The sequence below is a fragment of the Homo sapiens genome, chromosome 4 (assembly GCF_000001405.40).
Source record: "Homo sapiens chromosome 4, GRCh38.p14 Primary Assembly".
Lineage (NCBI taxonomy): Eukaryota > Metazoa > Chordata > Mammalia > Primates > Hominidae > Homo > Homo sapiens.
The window spans coordinates 138889573-138912201 of record NC_000004.12 but is presented as its reverse complement, the minus strand read 5'-3'; the positions used below and the strand labels follow the sequence as shown (position 1 = coordinate 138912201).

The 22629-nt window shown below is 42.5% G+C and overlaps 1 long non-coding RNA gene across 1 annotated transcript in view, besides 2 other annotated features; it reads left to right on the top strand.

Moving 5' to 3' along the window:
* The window catches only part of LOC105377448 (uncharacterized), a 192690-nt gene that overhangs the window by 100445 nt on the left and 69616 nt on the right, over positions 1 to 22629 (top strand). The gene's annotated exons all lie outside the window — the stretch shown is intronic.
* Positions 862 to 1443: an enhancer, noted in NCBI's record as "NANOG-H3K27ac-H3K4me1 hESC enhancer chr4:139831913-139832494 (GRCh37/hg19 assembly coordinates)". NCBI's record gives its function as "activates a minimal SCP1, AML or CMV promoter by ChIP-STARR-seq in primed H9 embryonic stem cells {active_cell/tissue: H9 hESC(primed)}" and the evidence as "EXISTENCE:reporter gene assay evidence [ECO:0000049][PMID:30033119]".
* Positions 12058 to 12247: a silencer, noted in NCBI's record as "fragment chr4:139821109-139821298 (GRCh37/hg19 assembly coordinates)". NCBI's record gives its function as "represses an EF-1alpha promoter that drives an FKBP-Casp9 reporter gene in an ReSE screen in phorbol 12-myristate 13-acetate-treated (for megakaryocytic differentiation) K562 erythroleukemia cells {active_cell/tissue: K562(+PMA)}" and the evidence as "EXISTENCE:reporter gene assay evidence [ECO:0000049][PMID:32094911]".

Here is a 22629-nt window from a genome sequence, read left to right as displayed (position 1 = left end):
AGCTTAATCCATAAAAGAGAAGTAATATTATAGCAGCCACATCCCAGAACAGGGAGGGTGGAGGTGGCCAGTGTATTTGCATTAAACCCTCTGTGTTTACACAGGGTTGGGAACAAGAAATATCTAGACTAGTGGATGAGTTCGTGACGTTTTGGCAAACATAAAACTTAATGTTACCTCCCATTTTTCCCATGTATCAGCTTGAGACGATGATGATAGAGGATGGCATAAAAATAATGAAGAATCTTTAGAGGATTTATTTCTTTAACACTGAAAACACCATTGAGGTGCTTTGATATTGTAATATCAAGAAATTGCTAGGCTTCCTTATTGGCTGAGAACTCGGCTTCCTATTCTGAGACAACTAATTCAGTTTCTATCCAATAGATGAAAACTGAAATTAAAGTGAATTAGACCTATTACATACTACGTGATTAATACATAAGGCTGGGACCAGGTCTTCTTTTGTCTTAGTAGGGAGTAGTAGCTGTATGCCCAGCAAATAATGGATCTGAACAATGTATCACCCCCCATTTCAAACCCTCTCTAGCGGTCTCCAGTGCAAGGGGTGGAGGTGTTGGCTCCCTGCAGGTATAAACACACAGGCATGGGGCATAACGTTCCAAATCAGTGACCAGCATGTCAGAGACCCTTCTGTATCCGTGCAGCACTGAGGTGGAAGAGGAGCCAGGGCTTCAGTGAGTTCTGGGCAGCTGAGAATAACAGCACCTCACTCCCACCCCTCACTTGGCCTGTGCAGGGGCTCTCTCCACATTTTATCGGCGTTCTGAATGCACTGCATGTGTTTCCAATGCTCTGGGAAATGGAGTAGAGACCCAGAGCTCTAGCCTTGGAGGGATGGCTGAGTTTAGCCAGGTGCTGTGCTTGAAGGCGCTGTTAGTTTCCAGCCACCTCCTGAAATGTGTCCGTCCTCACCTCCGCCGCTGACTCACAAAGGGCAGAGCCTGCCATGAGATCCCAGGCTCAGTACTTGGGTTGTTCGTGTCATTTCCTGCAATGTTTATCCGTCCTCTCCGTGTACTTTGCCAGCTAGAACAAAACAGTGCTGCTATGGAAACTGCAAACACCAGGCAATCCTGGCCCCGCCACTTGGCAGCCCAGCCGGGAGAGAGATAATGGCTTTTGTTGTTATCTATCGGATGCTGATGCTCAGTCGGTTGTACCCTTAGGCCCTAACTAGGGACACGCTGACACTGCACCTTAAGCTCTCTTTTGTAAACTTCCTCTGCCTGTGATGCAGGCCTGAGATAACCAGTCCAGCTAGGGCGCCGGCTCATTATCCTGATGACAACCTGGGGCTTTATACTTTCCTGACAGCTTCTGTAGGTTCTTCACTCCTAGGTGACCCAGAACACTCAAAAAAGCCTGCTGAACTCTCCAACTTGCAGAGCCCAACTGATTGGCAAATCTTACAACCTGTTTTCCTTTCTTTTTTCCCCCCAGTGCTAATAAATACATTATCCCAGAGACAGCTGTGACTCATGCATTAAACCCAGACTGCAGCAGAGTGGTGGTAAGACTCACCCCGGCAGGTGCAGCCCACGGCACCCAGAATAGTGGCTATTTTTTTTTTTTTTGGGATGAATACAAATTACAGCCCTCTAAAAACACATTTAATACAAAACTCCAAAAGGTTATTAAAACCTCTCTGTTGGCTGCAACATTTAATAATAGGTCAATTTACTCTATCAAACATCAACAATAATAATGCTGGGAGAAGAGGAGCCTCGGAGACTGAATAATTGGATGCGGCAGCCTTTCAACCCTGGGTTGCCAGGTTAAATCAAACACAACCTGGCAGGAGTAGGTGTGGACAAACACAGCTGTGTTTAGAATGCGCTGATGTCTTGGTCTATTTTTCCAACATTTGTGCTTTGAAAAGAGCTTTCTGCTTGAAATGCAGCCTCTCTTGTGCTTTGGAGCTCACATGTGTGGTAGAAGAAAGTTATTCCATCTCAGTTTCTGAGATATCTCAGGCACTGACTTTCTTGTTCTCTTAAAGTAGTTTTTTTTTTTCTTAGTAACACCCATTTTCTCTGGTTTCAAACTGCTCTTTTCTGGAGGAGATAATCGCCAAAAAATCTTTTGACCCATTTGCTTGCAAATGGTAAGAAATGTTTGATATTCTTAAAGCTCTTGGCACATAAAGTAGGGTGATTTTCAAATTCTGTTTGATCCTTCTAAAAGCTAGCTAGCCTTGTTCTCAGAAAAATTGTGCAGGCACAAAAATACAGTTCTAATTTCTGACTATTATTTCACACTTGTAGGCTGTTGCTCACAGGAGTGTATGGATGAGAGAGAGAGGTGTGAGGCCATCATCATTAATGGTGCTCCCTTGCCTCAGAGAGGCAGCAGCAAGGGCAGTGCTGGTTAAGAATTTAATGGAGTCCTTGCATATGGTAATCAGAAGCTGGAGGTTGCCTGGGTGTAGCTAAGGGAGCCACAGTCAAAACGTAAGATGTATATGACTTATCAATGGGTTGGATTCTTATTTCCGGTGGCCAAGGGGGCGCAATTTGAATTTGCAGATAGGGGAGGATTGGTGATGAAGAAAAAGGACCACCCTGCATAATTACGTATTCACTTTCCTGTGAGAGAGGCAGTCTTGCAATCTACAGGGCAGGAGTTAAATAAATTATACACGGTTGGGGAAGATGATGCAAAATGGTAGGCCCACATAACATGGGCACGCCTACCAGGCAGCTCAGTTGTGTTTGGCATGTAAAGCTTTAAAAAAATTTTTATTTGAAGTACGTAGTTGCCACATTGTAAAACTTTGGAGAGTTTCTATAGATACTTAGATATTAATTTTTTTAAAAGGATTGCAAGATCTGGCCACACTGACCTGCAGCTTGCATGGTAACAGCTGGGGACACGGGGAAAGAGCTGCTTCCTTCAGACAAGGCATGGCTCAGCAAGTTTTCCATAGCTTTGTGCACAGTCTGTTTCAATACTGGCATTTTCTGTATGGCCGCTTCAGATGTTCATGTTTGTGACTCCTGGTCTGAGACTATTAGCTCTTTGGGTGTGTGTGTGTGTGTGTGTGTGTGTGTGTGTGTGTGTGTGTGTGATTTACCTGTGGGTAGCATTATGTGTGGGAGCTTTATGTGTGAACATATCCATAAAAGTGAGAAAAAAATAGAGAGTTTGGATATAGAATGCCAATGTTTTTCTCTATCTTGCTAGAGCTTAAAGTGCCGAAGTCACCACTCATTATTATGCCAAAGTCTCACTGTTCTCTTTGGGGCATTATTTAAGATGAATAATTCAGATTTAGTAAAATGTATAGCTAGAAGGAAGAATATAGATTTTGGAGTAAGCCTAACACCTGAGGGCAGGGTTTCTTGAAGGGTTAATGAAGACCCTTAGTCTGAGGTGATATTTGTCTGGGTAATTAAGGCTATGGTGTGGTCACAGATAGCCCTGGGACCTCAGGGGTGAAGCACTGTGAGGGTTTCCTCCTTGCTCACAATACAAACTCTGATGTAGAGTGGGCAGCACCTCTCCATCTTGTAGCAGTGCCTCCTAGAACATGTCACCTTCAAGGAACTGTGGTCAGAAAAGAGAGGGAGTGGACGCTGTCCTGCAGGGGATTTATGACCAGGCCTGGAAGTGGCAAACATCACTTCCAGTCATATCCCATTGCCCAGAACCCCATTGCATGGCCCTCACAATGCCTGCATGGAAGGCCGAGGATGGAGTCTTCTCATGTGCTTGGGAAGAGGAAAATGAAACAAGACTTGATATCATTGTCTGTGCCGCAGAAGTTAAAGGAAAGGTGCGTTTTCCTTCCTTCCTTCCTTCCCTTCTTTCCTTTCTTTGCTTTCCTTCCTTTCCTTTCTTTTCTTTCTTTTCTTTTTCTTTCTTTCTTTTCTTTCCTTCCTTCCTTCCTCTTTCTTTCCTTCCTTCCTTCCTTCTTTCTTTCTTTCTTTCTTTCCTTTTTTCTTTGTGATAGCAGCTGGAACAGAAGGAAAGGCGTGGTTTTTTTTTTTAAAGACATATTCTCACGCTGTTGCCCAGGCTGGAGTGCAGTGGAGCAATCTGGGCTCACTGCAACTTCCGCCTCCGTGGTTCAAGCAATTTTTGTGCTTCAGCCTCCTGAGTAGCTGGGATTACAGGTGTGTGCCACCATGCCCGGCTAATTTTGTATTTTTTAGTAGAGATGGGTTTTGGCCATGTTGGCAAGGCTGGTCTCGAACTCCTGACCTCAAGTGATCCTCCTGCCTCGGCCTCCCAAAGTGCTGAGATTACAGGCGTAAGCCACCACACCCAGCCAAAAGGCGTGTTTTTGAGAGAAGGGCAGACCTCAGGACAGGAGAACAGAGTTAGGAAGTGGGATATGCCCCTCGTTGAGGTGAGTTGCCTATCTGGGTCCTTTTCTCTCAGGCTATGGGAAACATCTTCAGTACATGGCTGTGAGTCTGTTCCAGTGTAGTAACTCCCTTTAACTACCCCAGACTTTTAGGGAAATGTGACACACATCCCCCTGTAGCCTTATGCCAAGTGAAGCAGAGAATGAAGAGGCAGCACAGCAAAGGGACATGCTCCCTGCCTACTTCCCTTTCTGCCTTTTTCCCTGGAGAAGCAGTGGCATCCTATTTGAAGAGTCTGTGACCAGGAGCACCCGGCAGTGACTGGCCATAGAGTGAATGGTGACCTGGCCCAGAGCAGGGAGCATTTCCCAGTAGAGAGCTCAGGAGGAAGGTAGTCAACACCTCCCCTTTAATCCCTACCAAAGAAAGCTGACCTTCGCAAGGGGATGATCAGTGCTCAGGCTGTGCTTCACTGTAAAACAGCTCAAAGACCAGATCATATCAGTAGCCTTCAGTATTGATCAGTACTATTGATCGAGCGGCTGCATAGCCAGGCACCACGCTGAACACTTTGCAACCTCATCTTATTCATCTTCATGACAACCTGATGAAGTAGATGGACTTCTCCCTATTTTATGGGTTAGGAAATGGAGGCCAAGAGAGATTAATTTACCCAATGTCACACAGCTGGTGAGTGGCAGAGCCCAGTCTAACCTGAGTCTGTTTGATTCTAAAGCCAGTCCTACACTTCCCTCACTAGCAATGGGCAATGGGTCAACTCCACTATATTCATTTAGGAAGGACACCAGTTTTCCCTCTCAGGAAAATCCTTAGTAAATGGGTTTCTGTTTATGACTTATTTGGATCTGCAGACTATATGCCAGGGTTTTAGGCAGGCTTGGGATCATTCTTGGGGTTGCAGTTGGAATCAAAAGACCTGCTTTGTGAAGTGTCTTAGAGCCTCGATGTCCTAGAGTTCTAGGAGACCCTGGGCAGGAACATATAGAGTCCATGTCTGTTCAGGAGTTTGCATCACTTTGATAGCCTAGGCAGTGTCCTGGAGATGACAGCCTGAAATAGACTCTGAAAAAAACACAGAAATAAATAATAAATACACACAAATTACCTAAACTACATGATTCAGTTAATATTTAGGCTCTTATGCCTGCATATCTGGCTGGCTGTATATATATATATATATAGTTGGAATTACCTGGAATAATTATATATATATATATATATATACTGGCTATGTATATATATACTAGCTGTGTGTGTGTGTATATATATATATATATATATACTCATATACTATATGTATATATATGTATGTATATATATATACATATACTATATACATACAGTATATACTATACAGTATACATATCCTGTATATATATGCATACATACACACACACACACACACATACACAACCCAGTTTCAGGGTTGTATATATACAACCCCACAACCCCAAGGATAATCCCAAGCCTGCTTCAAACCCTGGAATGTGGTGTGCAGATCCAGATAAGTCATAGAAGCCCATTTTCTGAGGATTTTCCTGAGAGGGAAATATATATATATATACACACACACACACACACACATAGATATGAGTGATATATATATACGTACACAGATATAAATAATAAATATACTTGTGTGTATATATATATGCACACACACATATTTATAATTATATTTTTTACAAAAATGATATTCAACTCTAGTATTATTTTTGCACCAGGCTTTTGGGTGCTTTTCCTTGAATATGTTAGTGCTGATGGGGGTGTTGAACACCAGGACTCAGGTGTGAGTTGAGAGCAAGGTCAACAATCAGGAAGAAATAGCATAAGTTGAGAGGCAAACTCAGAGGTGAGGCCAGGGGCTCAGCTCAGAGTCCAGGAACAACTAACAGCGGTTCCTAACTTTCTTGGCACCAGGGACACGTTTCATGGAAGAAAATTTTTCTACAGATCATGGAGAGAATGGTTTCAGGATGAAACTGTTCCACCTCAGATCATCAGGCATTAGATTCTCATGAGGAGCCACAGCCTAGATCCCTTGAGTGCACAGTTCCCAACAGGATTTGCAGTCCTGTGAGAATCTAATGCCATCCCTGATATGACAGGAGGTGGAGCTCAGGCAGGAATGCTTGCTGGCCTGCTGCTCACCTCCTGCTGTGCGGCCCAGTTCCTAACTGGCCACAGACCAGTGCCAGTCTGCATCCCGAGGGTTGGGGACCTGTGAACTAGAGGATATCACAGGGCCTGTTTTTGTGGTTTGGTAGCAGGACTGACCCTTAAATATGCCAGACTGAGCAGAGTGGTGAAACAATGAACTTTTCTCATTTGGATGTATAGATTAAATAGTTCAATATGATGATGCCTTGGAATTACCTGGAATAATGTGATTTTTACTCCCATGAAAGTTTTGTTCTATCAGGGTCTGTTTCATTTGAAAACAAAAAAACCTTTGCTTGGGCAAGAGTCCTAGAGTGGTTCAGAGCTGGCAGTATTCTTTTCAGGCAGATAGAGAGATGATGACAGGACACAGAGCTGATGTCCTACCCCTGCCATTCCCTCCCCTCTCTCCCCACACTTTCTTTAATTTTGGATCCTGTGTCTTTTCAGCAACCAAACTTCTAAATTCAGAAACTTGGTAGTAAAATTCAGCTTCTCTGGCCTTGTTTCTGAGGAGTGCCTATCAGAGTAACACACAGGGCCTTAATGGTTTGTAAATGAATAAAAATCAATGAATGGATTAAACTGACACCAGAAGTTGAAGCTCAGTGAAAGAATCAAGTTTTTCATAGTTTCCTCCAAGTACAACATTGAGATGACCTCATTTCAGGGTGTTAGTTTAGTGCTTTTGCTTTCTAAATGAAGGCGTCAAGCCATTCCATTAGGTAAGTCAGGCTGCATTACTTACATGCTGCTTTCTGGCTGCTGGGGAAGGGAACGGAGGGCGTGTTGGAAGTCAGAGAACATCCCTGACAGTTACAGTGGAATCAATAACCATTTCTTTTTGGGACCCAAGTGTACGGTTTAATTTCTAGGCATGGGGAGATCCCAAGCTTTCCAATTAACAACTCATCTTTTTTTTTTTTCTCATACCTAGTGTAATAAACCAAACACTGCAAACTTGAAAGAGATTGAGAGAAAAAAGTAAAACCATGAGAGAAATAAAATGTAAAAAGGCAGAAATCCTGTTGCCCTAAGGCTAGTTAGGTGCTTTTATTCAACACCAGGTGAATAAAGTAACTATGATATCCAAAGACTTTTAGGGAGCCACCAGGAGTGCGAGGGGGTGATGGGTCACAGGAAGGGAGGCTGGGAGCAGGAGGCTGGTGTCACACATTTCAGGAACACCATCCAGGTGGGGCAGGATCCTTCACTGAGGAAGCTGAGAGGAGAGACTCATTGGCTCACTGGAGCCTGTTATTTGAATATCAGTCATTCTCGTTTTGTTTTTTTTTTTTAAACTTAAAAAAAAAATTTTTTTGAGATAGATCCTGCTCTGTCACCCAGGCTGGAGTGTAGTGGCGTGATCTGGGCTTACTGAAACCTCTGCCTCCCAGGTTCAAGCGATTCTTGTACCTCAGCCTCCTGAGTAGGGAGGCTGGGATTACAGACGCACACCACCATGCCCAGCTAATTTTTGTATTTTTAGTAAAGACTGGGTTTCACCATGTTGGCCACACTGGTCTCAAACTCCTGATTTCAAGCGATCCACCCACTTTGGCCTCCCAAAATGCTGGAATTACAGGTGTGAGCCACTGTGCCTGGCCATTCTCGTTTATTGATACTCACTAAATCCCAGTGGCTCGACCTCTAATCTTTGCATTTCTGTAAGATGGGTATCATTTTCCTCATTTTGTAAGGGTAGAAATGGAGGCTCAGAGAGGTTAAGACAGGTCACTTGCCCACTTAATCATTAACATTAATTGAGCCCCTACTCTGTACCAGGCCATGTTCTAAGCAATTAATGTGCTCACTTATTTAACCTTCATAATGTCCCTATGATGCAGGCTATGCTTATTCTCTCCATTTTACAGATGAGGGAGCCAAGATACCAAGAGGTAGAGGGGCTTCTCCAAAGTCACATAATTAGTAAATGGGAGGACCAGGATTCAAACCAAATCTGTCCGACTCCCCAGCTTCTTTTGTTTTTCCTACCTTAGCAGGTGGCAACTCAAAAAGCTGAGAAATATCACAGACGTCACAAGCTCAGAAAGCTGAGAAATATCAAAGAAGTTGTAAAATTCAGAAAGCAATGTTATATTTTTATTAATGTATTTTCTGGGATACGTTTATATATTTTTTCTACTCTTCTTAGGGGCAGTCTATGCTTTGATTGCCTCTTTACATGACAATGAATTTGTAATATCAATTTTTACAGTGAGAATAGAAAGATAATTTAGTTCTTCCTCTGGCATGACTGATCAAAGTTTTTTTTTCCTTATTAGAGCTTGGAGTGCATAAATCATGTGATGTCACACACAGACAAACTCATTTAGTACCACTATAGAAGTTTGGCCTATGATAAAGGAGTTATGATAAATTCTGTTTTGTGCAATTCTTATCAAAAAAGAAAAAAATGTCGAGTGCATTTATAATTACATGTCATGCATTATTGAGTATATTTCTGCCAGAAAACTTTTGTTTTGACTAGGCTTCAACGGGAATCCTCTAGTTACAATTTTACATGTCTGAAGATTAAAATAATTTTCCAGTTACAATTGTAATCCTCCAGTTACAATTTTAGATGTCTGAAGATGAAAATAATTTTTCACAGACTACCTTCTGATTCCTTACATTTCAAGCCTTATTTCTCCTCTGCTACCCACAAACTTCCAGTGCTGGGTGCTACAGATAGGGTGACTGCCAGGGTCTGAATGTTTGTGTCCCCTCCCATGTTCATATGTTGAAACCTTATGTCTGGTGTGATGGTATTAGGATGTGGTGCCTTTGGGAAGTGATTAGGTCATGAGGGTGGAGTCCTCATGAATGGGATTAGGGCTCTTTTAAAGGAGATCCCCGAGAGCTGCCTTTATTCTTCCATCGTGTGAGGACCCAGAGGAAGGTGCTGGTCTTTGAACCAGGAAGTGGGCCCTCACCAGACACCAAATCTGCTGGGGACTTTATCTCGGACCTCCCAGCCTTCAGAACTGTGAGAAACAAATTTCTGTTGTTTATAAGCCACCCAGTCTATGGTACTCTGTTATAGCAGCCCTAATGAACTAAGACAATGGCAATACATCTGAGTTTATCTGGGCTAGTCCCAATTTTCAACTGCTGCCTTGGAATAATTTTTTGTTTGTTTTTGAGACAGGGTCTCACTGTATCACTGGGCTGCAGTGCAGTGGTGTGATGATGGCTCACCACAGCCTTGACCTCCTGGGCTCAGGTGATTCTCCCACTTCAGCCTCCCAAGTAGCTGGAACTACAGGAGTATGCCACCAAACCTGGCTAATTTTTTTGCGTTTTTCTTAGTGATGGGGTTTTGCCATGTTGCCCAGGCTGGTCTCGAACTCCTGAACTCAAGTGATTTGCCCACCTCGGGCTTCTAAAGTGCTGAGATTACAGGTGTGAGCCACCGCGCCTGGCTGGCATAATTGTTAATAATATCTTTCTTTTCCGTCTCAGAAGTGTCTTGGTGGGGAGGAAAGAGATAAGGCAGCCAGCCTGTGACCCACATCTTTCCTGATTCCTGGGGGAATGCTTCCAGAAAAGAAATCAGGTGACCTGGTTTAATCTCCTTGTACACATGCTGATGATAACTGGACCTTCTGGTAGACTAATGATATTTGGGATAGGAGTGTCTTTTTTTTTTTTTTTTTTTTTTTTGAGATGGAGTTTTGCTCTTGTTGCCCAGGCTGGAGTGCAATGGCATGATCTCAGCTCACCGCAACCTCCGCCTCTTGAGTTCAAGCGATTCTCCTGCCTCAGCCTCCCAAGTAGCTAAGATTACAGGCATGCGCCACCATGCCCATCTAATTCTGTATTTTTAGTAGAGACAGGGTTTCTCCATGTTTGTCAGGCTGGTCTTGAACTCCTGACCTCAGGTGATCTGCCCACCTCAGCCTCCCAAAGTTCTGGGATTACAGGCATGAGCCACCACGCCTGACCTAGGAGAGTCTTTAAAGAAGGCATGTTCTCAGTTGGATAGCCCTAGCTTAGGATTACTTAACATCAATAAACCTAGACTGTATACATTTATGAGGCATGATTCCCAAAGGGGATTATGTTAACTCTACAACTTTCATAACCTGAACACTCCCCCAAGTATGATGTGATACAAAAACCTCATCTAGAGACACCATATATTATTCCTCTGGGCCAGAGTATGTGTTTAATGTGGGGAGGAAGGGCCTGAACAGGTACACAGAGCATCCCACCTTTACCTGCTTTGCTGTGCATCTTGATTGCTTATATCCTTAAGGTTACTATTAAAGCTTGAGTTTGAGTAAGGTCTCTGATTTGTGTTGGCATGATTTGACAGTCTGACCCTTGAGGCTAACTCAAGTAGTTTGAACAGTAGATTATAGACCTAAGACACGTTCACATTGCAATGTGACCTCTAGCCCTGCACTTTTGGATCGCAATGCTGAGAGAGTTTTTCTGACATCCTGCCAATGACTTGACTAGACACAGAAATGAGTAACGTGACTACCTAGGTGGTGCTGACGTTGTTGCTCTGCATTCTATATTTTAAGAACCTTTAGTTTAAAACCATTGATTGGACTCTCTAGGTCCCAATCCCATTCTTGGGTCTTACTCTGACAACAGGAGTCAGTGAATCTTTGAAACCTGGCTTTCCAAATGCTGTATATGATTGCTTCTGGGCTATGCTTTTTTTTTTTTTTTTTTTTTTTTTAAGACAGTATCTTCCTCTGTCACCAGGCTGTAGTGCAGTCGCGCAATCTCGGCTCACTGCAGCCTCCACCTCCCGGATTCAAGCGATTCTCCTGCCTCAGCCTCCTGAGTAGCTGGGACTACAGGTGTATGCCATCACACCCAGCTAATTTTTGTATTTTTAGAAGAGATGGGGTTTCACCATGTTGGCCAGGATGGTCTCAATCTCCTGACTTCATGATCCACCCACCTCCGCCTCCCGATGTGCTGGGATTACAGGCATGAGCCACTGCACCTGGCCTGGGCTATGCCTTTTAAGACCCAGATATAAGTCTATTTGGTTTTGCAAAACCACTGCATTATTAAATTTTCTAGTCCCAGTCCCCTCCCAATGCCATTTAGGCCAGAGTCAGGGGACCCAGTCAGAACAAGCACTTGATGAACCTTTAGCAAGTTTCTGCTGTTATACCACAAAGCTGTTGAGGACACAGAGGACCCAAGAAATTGCACCCCTTTCCCTTCTAGTCCTGTTGTTCAACATAACATATTGGACAATCTGCAAGGAGATGCCAAGATCTAATAATAAAATGCCAACAACATAGAGATATGCCAAAGTTTGATGTAGAATCTCTCCCATTATCAAATTCCCAGGGAGAGATTAAAATTCAATAATTAAATCTTAATATTTCAAGCCCAGATATGTTAAAGTCCAAAAGACGAAAATTAGAGCTAAATATCTTTTGCCCTTGAGTTGAATATTCTTAAATTAAAGCCCCCAAATTACTGCCTCCAGTTTCAAATTCTGCTGAGTCACGGGAACTTCCAACCCACCTAAACACACACATTAAGTACAATTGCAGCAAATTGTGCCACTTCTGATGACACCTCCCTCATGTCCACCAGCCATAGCTGAAGGCCAAGTGGTCTGCACCTTTCCCTAGTGGTTCGTTTGCTTTTGCCAAAACTGCATGTCTTTGTGCAAGGCCAAAGTGGTGGGTGCCTTTGCTTGAAACCACCATGCATGCAGCTTTCCCTCCATGGAACTAGTCTCTTGGCTAAGGAAAAGCCATCTTAATTTGGAGGAATGGGGATAAACTTTCCCTATTAACACAGATCAGTGGGCTTCAATACCTATGGTGGCCTCTGAGGCCCACAGATTCTAAGATTACATCCACAGAGATTCTGATTAAGAAGGTTTGGCATGCGGCCTGGATATTGGTAGTTTAACACGTGCCTCAGGTGATTCTCATGAAAGTCTGGTCGACTGCATTTGATTGCAGACTTCTTGAATGTATCCCCAGTTAACAGCACAGCGTTTATCTAGCACTTGTGAGAGGCTGAATATTTGTGTACTGAATAAATCACTGTGAATTCACAAGGCGAGAAGGGATGGCAGAGAACCTGAGGCAGGATTTCATACTGTTCTTAACTGTACTGATAGCTCTTCTGTAGCTTTGTCAAGGATAAGAGATTCTTCCCTTTCTGAAAATGTATTTGTTCTTGGGTTTTATATTTTAATTGATGTGGAACTGGGAAAGAGGAAGGGAGGAGAACATTATAAAATCAGTTCTTCCTAAAATTACTGGGACCCTAGGATCCAAAGTTACGTCAAGCTACTTGTCAATGAATGTCGCTCTCTATAGTGTCTGGTGCCAGATAGAATCTACATTGGATGCTGAACATAATATATTTAATAATTTTCTGATAGTCATAGAGTTTTCTCTACAATGCTTTATAATTCATAATTTTATATAGCTACTTTTTCATCTTTATTTTAGAGACAGTGTCTCACTCTGTTGCCCAGGCTGGAGTGCAGTGGTGCGATCATAGCTCACTATAACCTTGAACTGCTGAGCTCAAGTGATCTTCCTGCCTCAGCCTCCTGAGTAGCTGGAACTACAGGGCTATGCCACAATGCCTGGCTAATTAAATTTATTTACTTATTTTTTGTAGAGACATGGTTTTTCTATTTTGCCCAGGCTGGTCTTGAACTCTTAGCCTCAAGTGATCTTCCCACCTTGCTCTCCCAAAGTGTTAGGATTATAAGCATGAGCCACCGCACCTGGCCTATATAGCTACTTGTGATTTGAGCTCCACTTTGACTCCCAATTGTAGACCTGACCGTACTCACTTACATCTTGATTTTTGAAAACGTAGGTGCAAAATTCTTGCTCCCTGCAAGTTCCTTGAATCTTCTTATGCTTACTCTTTCTTGCCGAATGTCTCCTACACATCTCTAAAATAGATAGCTAAATCTCCGCAGCCAATTTGATTCTCCAAGAAATCACGAAAAATCCTTTGATTAAGGAACTTAGCCAATAGCACTCTGTATAGAATGAATTTTTAAACTTTTACCAGTCCCTACTGTATTTTTTGGAAAGCCACAGATTTTGCTTAACTTGGCTTAGTAATGAGTCATCAAGCATAGGCTAAGGCATGATTTCCTACTGTTAGGAAAGCTGTCACTAGACTTAATGAAGATAAGAAGTAGTTATGCAGCAAAAAAGTGGCTCTGGGGTGCCTTGGCCCTTTGGTGTTGTAGAGGTTAATTAAGTAATCCTATTGCACATGAGAGTGTGTGTGCCACCAGCAGCCATCTCAGATCAGGTGAGGCTCCTGAGCCACCTAGGCACCAATTAACATGCTTGAATACTTGCAGGTGAGGCTGGCTGTCTCCACTGTTACGTGAGCCACTGTGCAATCAATCACTCGGCTCTTTTTATTTCTGAATTTACCATTGTGAAGGGAAAACCCACAATTGGAAGACATTTATATACTGTATTCTTCTGAGTGTATTCTAAATCCTTCTTCTACTTGTGAAGCAAAAACCTAGCTCTAAAAATAACTCTGTGTGCTGACAGTGTCACATTATGACACATTCCCTATCCTCTTAGTTCCAGAGTAAACAGATGCGTATCTTGTACCTTGGCCAATCAGAGAATTAGGTCTCAGCCACTACATTCATCTGCTATCTCGGCTGGTCTCCTGCAAATCTATGCAAACCACAACCCAGGGATAGTTCATTTTCATCAAAAAATTTCTTATCTCCCATCTGTGTTACCAGTTTATTTGTCCAGAAACAATTTCACTCAATCCCTTCACCAGTGGTTCTCAAACAAGCATGCATCTGACTCACCTGCAGGGTTTGTGAAAATGAAAGCTGGCCAGGCACTCCCTGAGTTTCTGATTCAGTAGGTTTGGGTTTGATTCTGAGAATTTGTATTTCTCCCAAGTATCCTGATGCTGTTGCTGGTCCAGGGACAACACTTTGAGAAGCACTGCCCTAAACCAATTTTATTGATTCTGATTAACTTCTAGACTGTGATAAATTTAAAATACCATTAGGTGAAGTTAAATAACATCAGGTGGAGATGATGTTTAATTAGACTAAGTAAATTAAATAAATTAGATCAATTTAAAATGCTATCAGATAAATTTAAATACCACTGGGTAAATTTAAAATACTACCAGTCAGAGATGATATACCCACAGGTCCTGTGAAAAGGGACAAAAAATCAGGAGTGAATGAGACCTTTGAGAACCTCTTGCTCCCATGAATTCTTCAACAATATATGGAAAGAGGTTGAGGCAGTGAATTGTACATGTTTGTGTGTTGATACAAGTGTACAGAACATAGTAATATTATGGGGCATTATTACATCAGGTTGGGGGCTAAATTTTGGGTCAAAATATAGCCCTTACAGCCTGATATGGTTTGGGTTCAATATGCTGATAATGCAGGGGTTAGTTCTCTCTCTTAATTCCAAAAATGTTTACTGAGGGTCTGTTATGTACACGGAACTGAATCAAACATAGCTGGGTAAATTGGATGAAAAGACATGGTTCTAAGAGCTTGCATTCCAGTGTGTTAGATTAGTCAGAACTGTGATACCGAGCATAGTGTAAGTGCAATAAGAGAAGCATTATTTTGATGTTCAAAGGACGAAAGGATTGTCTGATGCCGGAGTTGCAGAATGGAGAATGAGAAAATGTGTAATAGAATTGTTTTTTTTTTTGAGGTGACAGAAGTCCCTAAGACAGGGATTGTGAATTGGTTGTGTATCTGAGGGCACTAGTTATTATGGTTTGAATGTTTGTCTCCTCTTAAGACCATATGTTTGAAACTTAATCCCAAATGCAGCAGTGTTGAGAGGTGGGGCCTGATGGGGTGTTTAGGCCATAAGGACACTGCCTTCTTGAATGGAGTAATGCTGAATTAAAAAGAGCTTTTGGGGCTGGGCGTGGTGGCTCACGCCTATAATCCCAGCACTTTGGGAGGCCGAGGCGGGCGAATCACGAGGTCAGGAGATTGAGACCATCCTGGCTAACACGGGGAAACCCCATCTCTACTAAAAATACAAAAAATTAGCCGGGCGTGGTAGCGGGCGCCTATGGTCCCAGCTACTCACGAGGCTGAGGCAGGAGAGTGGCGGGAACCCGGGAGGCGGAGCTTCCAGTGAGCTGAGATGGCGCCACTGCACTCCAGCCTGGGCGACAGAGCAAGACTCCGTCTCAAAAAAAAAAAAAAAAGAGCTTCTGGGAATGGGTTCCCTGCTTCAGCCTTCTGCCGTGTGAGGACACTGCAGGATGCAGTGTTCAAGGCACTCTCTTGGATGCAGACACTGGGCCTTCACCAGACACCAAACCTGCTGCTACCTTGATCTTGGATTTCCCAGCCTTCAGAACTGTGAGGAATAAACTCCTGTTTATTATTAATTACCCAGTTTGTGGTATTCTGTTTTAGTAGCACAAAATGGGCTAAGACAGTCTGAGTGGGCAGTTGGTGATTGAGTGTGGGTGTATGTTTGAAGGTTGAGTGTGAATTAGGGGGAAAGTGTGAGGGTCTTCATCAAAAGAATAGGGCATTTTGAAGAGAAAAGCAAGAATGGAAAGGTACGATAGGGTCAGATATGAAAGGCCTTAAATATCAGCTTGAGGAATTTATTTTCAAGGGCTTTGGGGGACTCATTGATGTTTTTTGAATAGGAGAAACAATCAGGTAAACAGGAAAGATGAATTATGGCAGGGTGACTCTAACAGGTTATGGTCAATGAGCATTTGCTAATGTGCTAGGCTCTGTGCTACATACTTCATACAGAATATCTCATTTAATCTTCACTACATCTCTGACAGATAAGTACATTATTGTTCCCATTTTACAGATTAGGAAACAGGGAGCATAGAAACCTAAAGGAAGTTACCAATGACCTGTAACTAGTAAATGGTGGGTAGAGAAATAGTGAGAGCCTAAGTAAGGATGTTGATGGTATGAGTACACAGCAGGGGACATGCTCTGGGGACATAACAGTATTGCAAAGATAGTATCCACGGGCTAGGCAATGACCAATTTTTTTTTTTTTTTTTTTTTGAGATGGAGTCTTGCTCTGTTCCCCAGGCTGGAGTGCAGGGGCACGATCTCAGCTCACTGCAACCTCCGCCTCCTGGGTTCAAGCGATTTTCCTGCCTCAGCCTCCGGAGTAGCTGGGATTTCAGGTGTGTGCCATCACGTCCGGCTAATTTTTGTATTTTTAGTAGAGATGAGGTTTCACCATGTTGTTCAGGCTGATCTCGAACTCCTGACCTTGTGATCCGCCTGCCTTGGCCTCCCAAAGTGTTGGGATTGCAGGCGTGAGCCACTGCGCCCAGCCTTGGCGATGACCAATTGTGAGGGGAAAGGGAGAGAGACAAGTTACAGTGGACTCAGAAATTTTGAGGCTGGATGATTTTGGAAAATGTGTCACGATTAATATTTTTTCCAGTCTTGATAATATTAACAATATTAAGAGGCTTTATTGTTTTTGAAAAGAAAAGGAGAATACAAGAAAAGGAGAGAGATATGCGATTGAAAAGGATGTGAGGAGAATAAGAGTTATTAGGTAAAGGGAGGCCATGCTGCCAGCACATTGCTAAGTGTGGGTGTAGGGGGCACAAATGTAGCATCCACTTTGATTTTATTTTCAGAACCATCTGTGCTTCAAGATTTCCTCATATCTCTGCCTGTGCACTCTATGAAGTATAATTTCAAGTGTCTACAAGTTCTTTGCTTCTCCTTTCACTAGGAGACACAGCCTACTTCCCCATTCTTTGGATTTGTGCTGTCCTTGACCAATACATAATGTGGTGGAAGCAATGTTGTACAAGTTCTAAGCCTGCTCCTTGAAAGGTGTGGCGTGTTCCCACTTGCTGCCTTGAAGTGTGGACCTCATGTAAGAAAGCTCAGGCTAGGCTGCTGAAGGAGAACCTGAGGAGTAGAGACAAGCCAGGCTCAGCTGAGTCTCCTGACATGTGAGTGAGGCCATCCCAGACCACTAATCTTCATCTGAGCCAGGCCAAAACAAAAAAAACCACCCAAATTGCTCAGAATCATGAACAAATAAATGATTAGTATTTCAGGCCACCACATTTTGGGGTGGTTTGCTATGTAGCAAAAGCCAACTGATTCACCATGTCACTTGATGGACCTCTGGTCAATATCATCAACTGTGGCTTTCCCAGTCTTATAACAGATCCAAAGAAGTTATTCTGCCATTCCACTGCAAACACTTTGCTTTCCAGTCCTGAAGGGCTTAAATTCATTTCTTCTTATTTTAACAACAGAACAAAATAGCAAGTCTAACTTAGTTTGTCAACTCAATGATTGATCCAGGAAAATTTTTTTTTCCTGAGTTCAATGTTCAGATATCTCTATCACTAACTTATTTTGATAAGAAAGTTACCCATAAGTGATAATTATTATTGCCCAACTCAGTGATTTCCACCTCTAATGAGCATAAGTATACTCTGAGTAACTTGTAAAATGTACATTCTTGGGCCTCATTCTCAGTGATGTGATTTAGTAAGTCAAGGGTGGGGCTCAGGAATCTACACTGATAATAACCCAAGATAGTTATGATACTGGTACTTCACTGATCATACTTTGAAAACATTGGCTTAAATCTTAAAGATTGATTCTGAAATAATCTATTTATTTCTCTTCTCTGACCTTGCTCTTGGATTTGCCCTTCATTACAGGTAATCAGAAACATTTCCTAAAACAGGCCAACTGGTGAATAATTATTGATGTACTAATGCCAACCTCCCACACTTGTGCCATATAAATGCTAGATTTACTCATGTAATTTCCTCTGTTTTCTTTGATATTTGCTATGGTTTGAATATGTCCCCCAAATTTCATGTGTTGGAAATTTAATCCCCAAATTCATATGTTGATTGGAGTGGGATCTTCGGGAGGTAATTAGGATTAGATAAGGTAATCAGGGTAGGGACCTCATGATGAGGCTGGCGGCTTTATAAGAAGAGGAAAAGAGACCTGAGCTGACACGCATGTGCTTGTCCTCTTGCTATATAATGCCCTTCATGATGTTATGATGTAGCGAGAAGGCACCAGATGCAGATGCTATGCTCTCCCTTTTCTTAGTGTGATTCCTAAAAAGTGTGGTTTGGGTGAGAAGGCTTCAAAATGTTTATACAAGACAGAGAGAGGAAAGAGAGAGAGAAAAGTTGAGGTAGATAAGAAAAATATAGGAGAGGATTTATAAAATTATTAAAGGGCAATGTCTACAACTATTATTTCATTTTCTTTCAAGTTTTTAAGTTTTGGTAAAATTTCAAGTTTTCAAGTTTCAGGAAAATTTGTGCAGGAAGAGGCAATTATCTGTTTCAGACTTATTTACTACTTCTGGGGCTCCACATGACTTTGAAAGTGAATTAGAGCCTGAAGAAATGACTTCTCCTTTGTCTGAATTTGCATAGTGCCAGTTTCCATAGTTTATTTCTGACCAATTTCACCATGAGCAACTCAGGAGTGCTGAAGGAAATAGGGTTCATGTAAAAACAGACAGTGTTGGGGATCTTTAGGAGAGTGACTAATTTTCCCTGTGCCCCCACCAGGATTTTTTTTTTTTTTTAGACAGTGTTTCACTCTAGTTGCCCAGGCTGGACTGCAATAGCGCGATCTCGGCTCACCGCACCCTTGGCCTCCCGGTTTCAAGCGATTCTCCTGCCTCAGCCTCCTGAGTAGCTGGGATTATAGGCATGTGCCACCACATCCGGCTAATTTTGTATTATTAGTAGAGATGGGGTTTCTCCATGTTGGTCAGGCTGGTCTCGGGCTCCCGATCTCAGGTGATCCTCCCACCTTGGCCTCCGAAAGTGCTAGGATTACAGGCGTGAGCCACAGTGCCCAGCCCAGGACCCTTTAAATTCATCTTTTGACTCATTTCACCACCTGGTCAACATATAGAACTTTACTTTCATTGACAATTCTTGAGGTTTTAATGGTTTCTGTTGGCAGTGTTAGGCAAAGTTTGAATGAAAGCAACAAAAGTAAGAAATGCATTATATGGGGGAGATGCCCTGATTTTTCTCTGATTGTGGTAGAAGGATCAGAAAGTGTGGGCGAAAATGGGGAGGAATGAAAGAGGAGCTGATCTGAGTCACAGTTTCTCCTGCCATGTCAAATCATATCCAAACTATTTTTAGACGATTTCAAAATAACTGGTGATCTTAGTTAATTCAAATATCCATTCAATTTTGTGAAATGAAAATCAATCAGCCTGATTGTTTGACAGAGGTGGCCTGTCAATTTGACTAAAGTCATGGTTTTTCAACCTGAAGTGGTGGGTTTGGGGGATAGGAAGGAACTCCAATTCAGAAACTACCAGGACATTTTTTTTTTCTTTCAAAATGCATATACCAGGGCCCCTTTCCTCAGTTTGATTTCACGCTTGGGGTTCTGAAAAAGCATCTAGGTCATTCTGAGAGGCCCCTCAACCCTAACTGAGAACCTTCTAGTTAAAATAGTCACATTCAGGCAATTTGAAAGACCTGAAATATCTCCCTGGCCTCAGCAGTTTTAATAACAAAGGAGTGAATTGGTGGTTGATTTTCTAAAAGAGAAAATCTAAACAGTCCTATGCTTATTCTAAATGATTGGAAGGATGATTTCTTTCTGGAGGGCATGGGAGATGGTGCTTCTGTTTACGTTTTAGGAACTCAATGACGATGACACCACAAACATGAACCTTTATTTCACTGGAATTGATCGTTCTCTTCTGCTCTGCACTACACTACACTGTAGCTGCTCTCAGGCTGGCTCTGACAGTGAGGGGCTTTCTCTTTTGAATGTTTGTTTTATGATCTAAAACCCAGCCTCACCCACAGAATAGCTAAGTCCCTCGCATGACAAGGCTGTGTGCCATCCGGGGATTTACTAATGGCTAAGCCGCATTATGAACATAGATTTATGATCACCTTCCCAGTCAATTAAAATTCCAGATATTACTAAGGCAGAATTCAATTAAGGTTAATTGGGGCTTCTGAAAACTTCTTTTCCAAAGGGAAACCATGATGGGATTGTGACTCCTGGTGGGTTTTATCAGTTTTAAATAACTTTCTGTGCCTTTTTTTTTTCTTGGCACAAGACACTTCCTCTCCTGACTGCAGGCTCCTGCTATTATCATTCGATTCAGATGTTGATTTTTCTGTCATAAGTTATCATTGTGACTTACTTGGTTTTGCTTTGTCTTTTTCTTAAAAAAAGAGAAAAAAACCTAAAACAAAAAACAAAACAAAACTCCCAAGGCTCGCAGCAGACCAGAACCCTAACAAAACCGCAACCCGTGCTGCCCGGAAATCACAGTCGTCTGACATGAAGGAAATATTGTCATTTGGAAGATTGTGACAACGTTTCAGAAGCAATTATCCAAACTGGAAAAATAACCCATTCCTTTTCTTTTGTCATTAAGGTGGATGAAAAGGTTCGCAAACATTGTCAACCAGGGGGAAAAAAACAGGTGCAGACCAGAATTACAATGCAAGTCAGGCTCTCCATTCTACCCTAAATTTTATTTTCTTGTCGTCAAGGGCTATTGTGACAGTTCTTAGCACAGTTGATTGAACTGGGAAAACACATGGGACGAGGCCTTAGTCACCGAATGCAGAACGTGCAATCCGTAGCTCGCAGAGCAATCTGGAGCAAGGAGTGAATAATAATTTCAGCAGTTTATTTTCTCAGAATTTCCCACCTATTGTTCATCACTGGAGACTAATAACAAAAAGCTAAGGAGAAATTTTCTTTTTGAAAATAAGAAATGATAAGTGTGTGTGCATAGGAGAGAGACTGCAACTGCTCAGATGTTCTGTTGTTCTTCCAAGGAGCAGAGCTAGGCATTTGCTGCGGGCAGATAGGAGCCCTCGTCAGAGGCTGCTTTTTCTTCAATTAGCACTCATTCCCTGTTTCACACACCTGGGCCTATCACTGTACAATGGTTTGGCACCCCGTGAGGCACAATGGTTTGCCACTGCATGAGGCCATCATCCATCTGGTAGCAGAGTCCACGACTGAACACCCATACTGGGCGCACTTTCCCACAGAGAGTGGCTTTGGCAATGGCCTTGCTTCCATGAGAACAGAGGAAGGATTTCCATAAGGCCAATCATAAGGCTGCTGATTCACATCATATCCTTTCTTTTTGCATTTTCAGCAGGTGGTAAAACAGTGCTGAGGGCAGGTTGTGAAATGTGAAGGTTTTTTTTTTTTTTTTTTTTTTTTTTTTTTTTTTTTTTTTTGACGGAGTCTCACTCTGTTGCCCAGGTTGGAGTACAATGTTGTGATCTCAGCTCACTGCAACCTCCCCCTTCCCGGGTTCAAGTGATTCTCCCGCCTCAGCCTCCCAAGTAACTGGGATTACAGGCGTGTGCTACCACACCCGGCTAATTTTTGTATTTTTAGTAGAGACAGGAGTTTCTCCATGTTGGTCAGGCTGGTCTCGAACTCCTGATCTCAGGTGATCTGCACTGCCTCTGCCTCCCAAAGTGCTGGGATTACAGGCGTGAGCCACTGCACCGGGCCCATGTGAAGTTATTTACATGTCTGGTATTATGTGGCAATTAACAGGTCTATGTAGCATCTCATGTTTTAAATGAACTTCCTTCCAGTGTGTCTTTTATTTGTATGTGAGGGTCGCATTTAGATGGCTTCTGCCCCACTGCAAGAAGTAGGCACATTAGAGCTGTTTTCTGGGGACGCTTTTTATCTCATTAGCACAGTGCTCCTATCCTTTGCTTTCACCTATAGATACAGAGACTCCAGGAATGAAGGCCTAACTGCACTGGTAACTACTCACATACTATCTTTGCCAATTTCCTGTTTCCTCTCTTTTTAAAGACCTACTGGAAAAGAAGGGAATAGAAAAAGAGAGATTCTAAAATTATATAGCAGTTAAGGGGAAAAGTTTCTGTAATCAGAGATCTGGGGTGTAATTATATGATAGCCAGAAGAAAGAAACATGCAGAAGGAATAAGTCTCTGGAGTATGATTACTAATGAATTCTCTCTATTCCTTATGGGAAAGAGCCACATTTGTAAAATTAAAAGTCAATGCCTCTTTGATGAGAGGATTTGCAGGCTCTGCTGTCCTTTTTTTCAAATACTGTGTGCT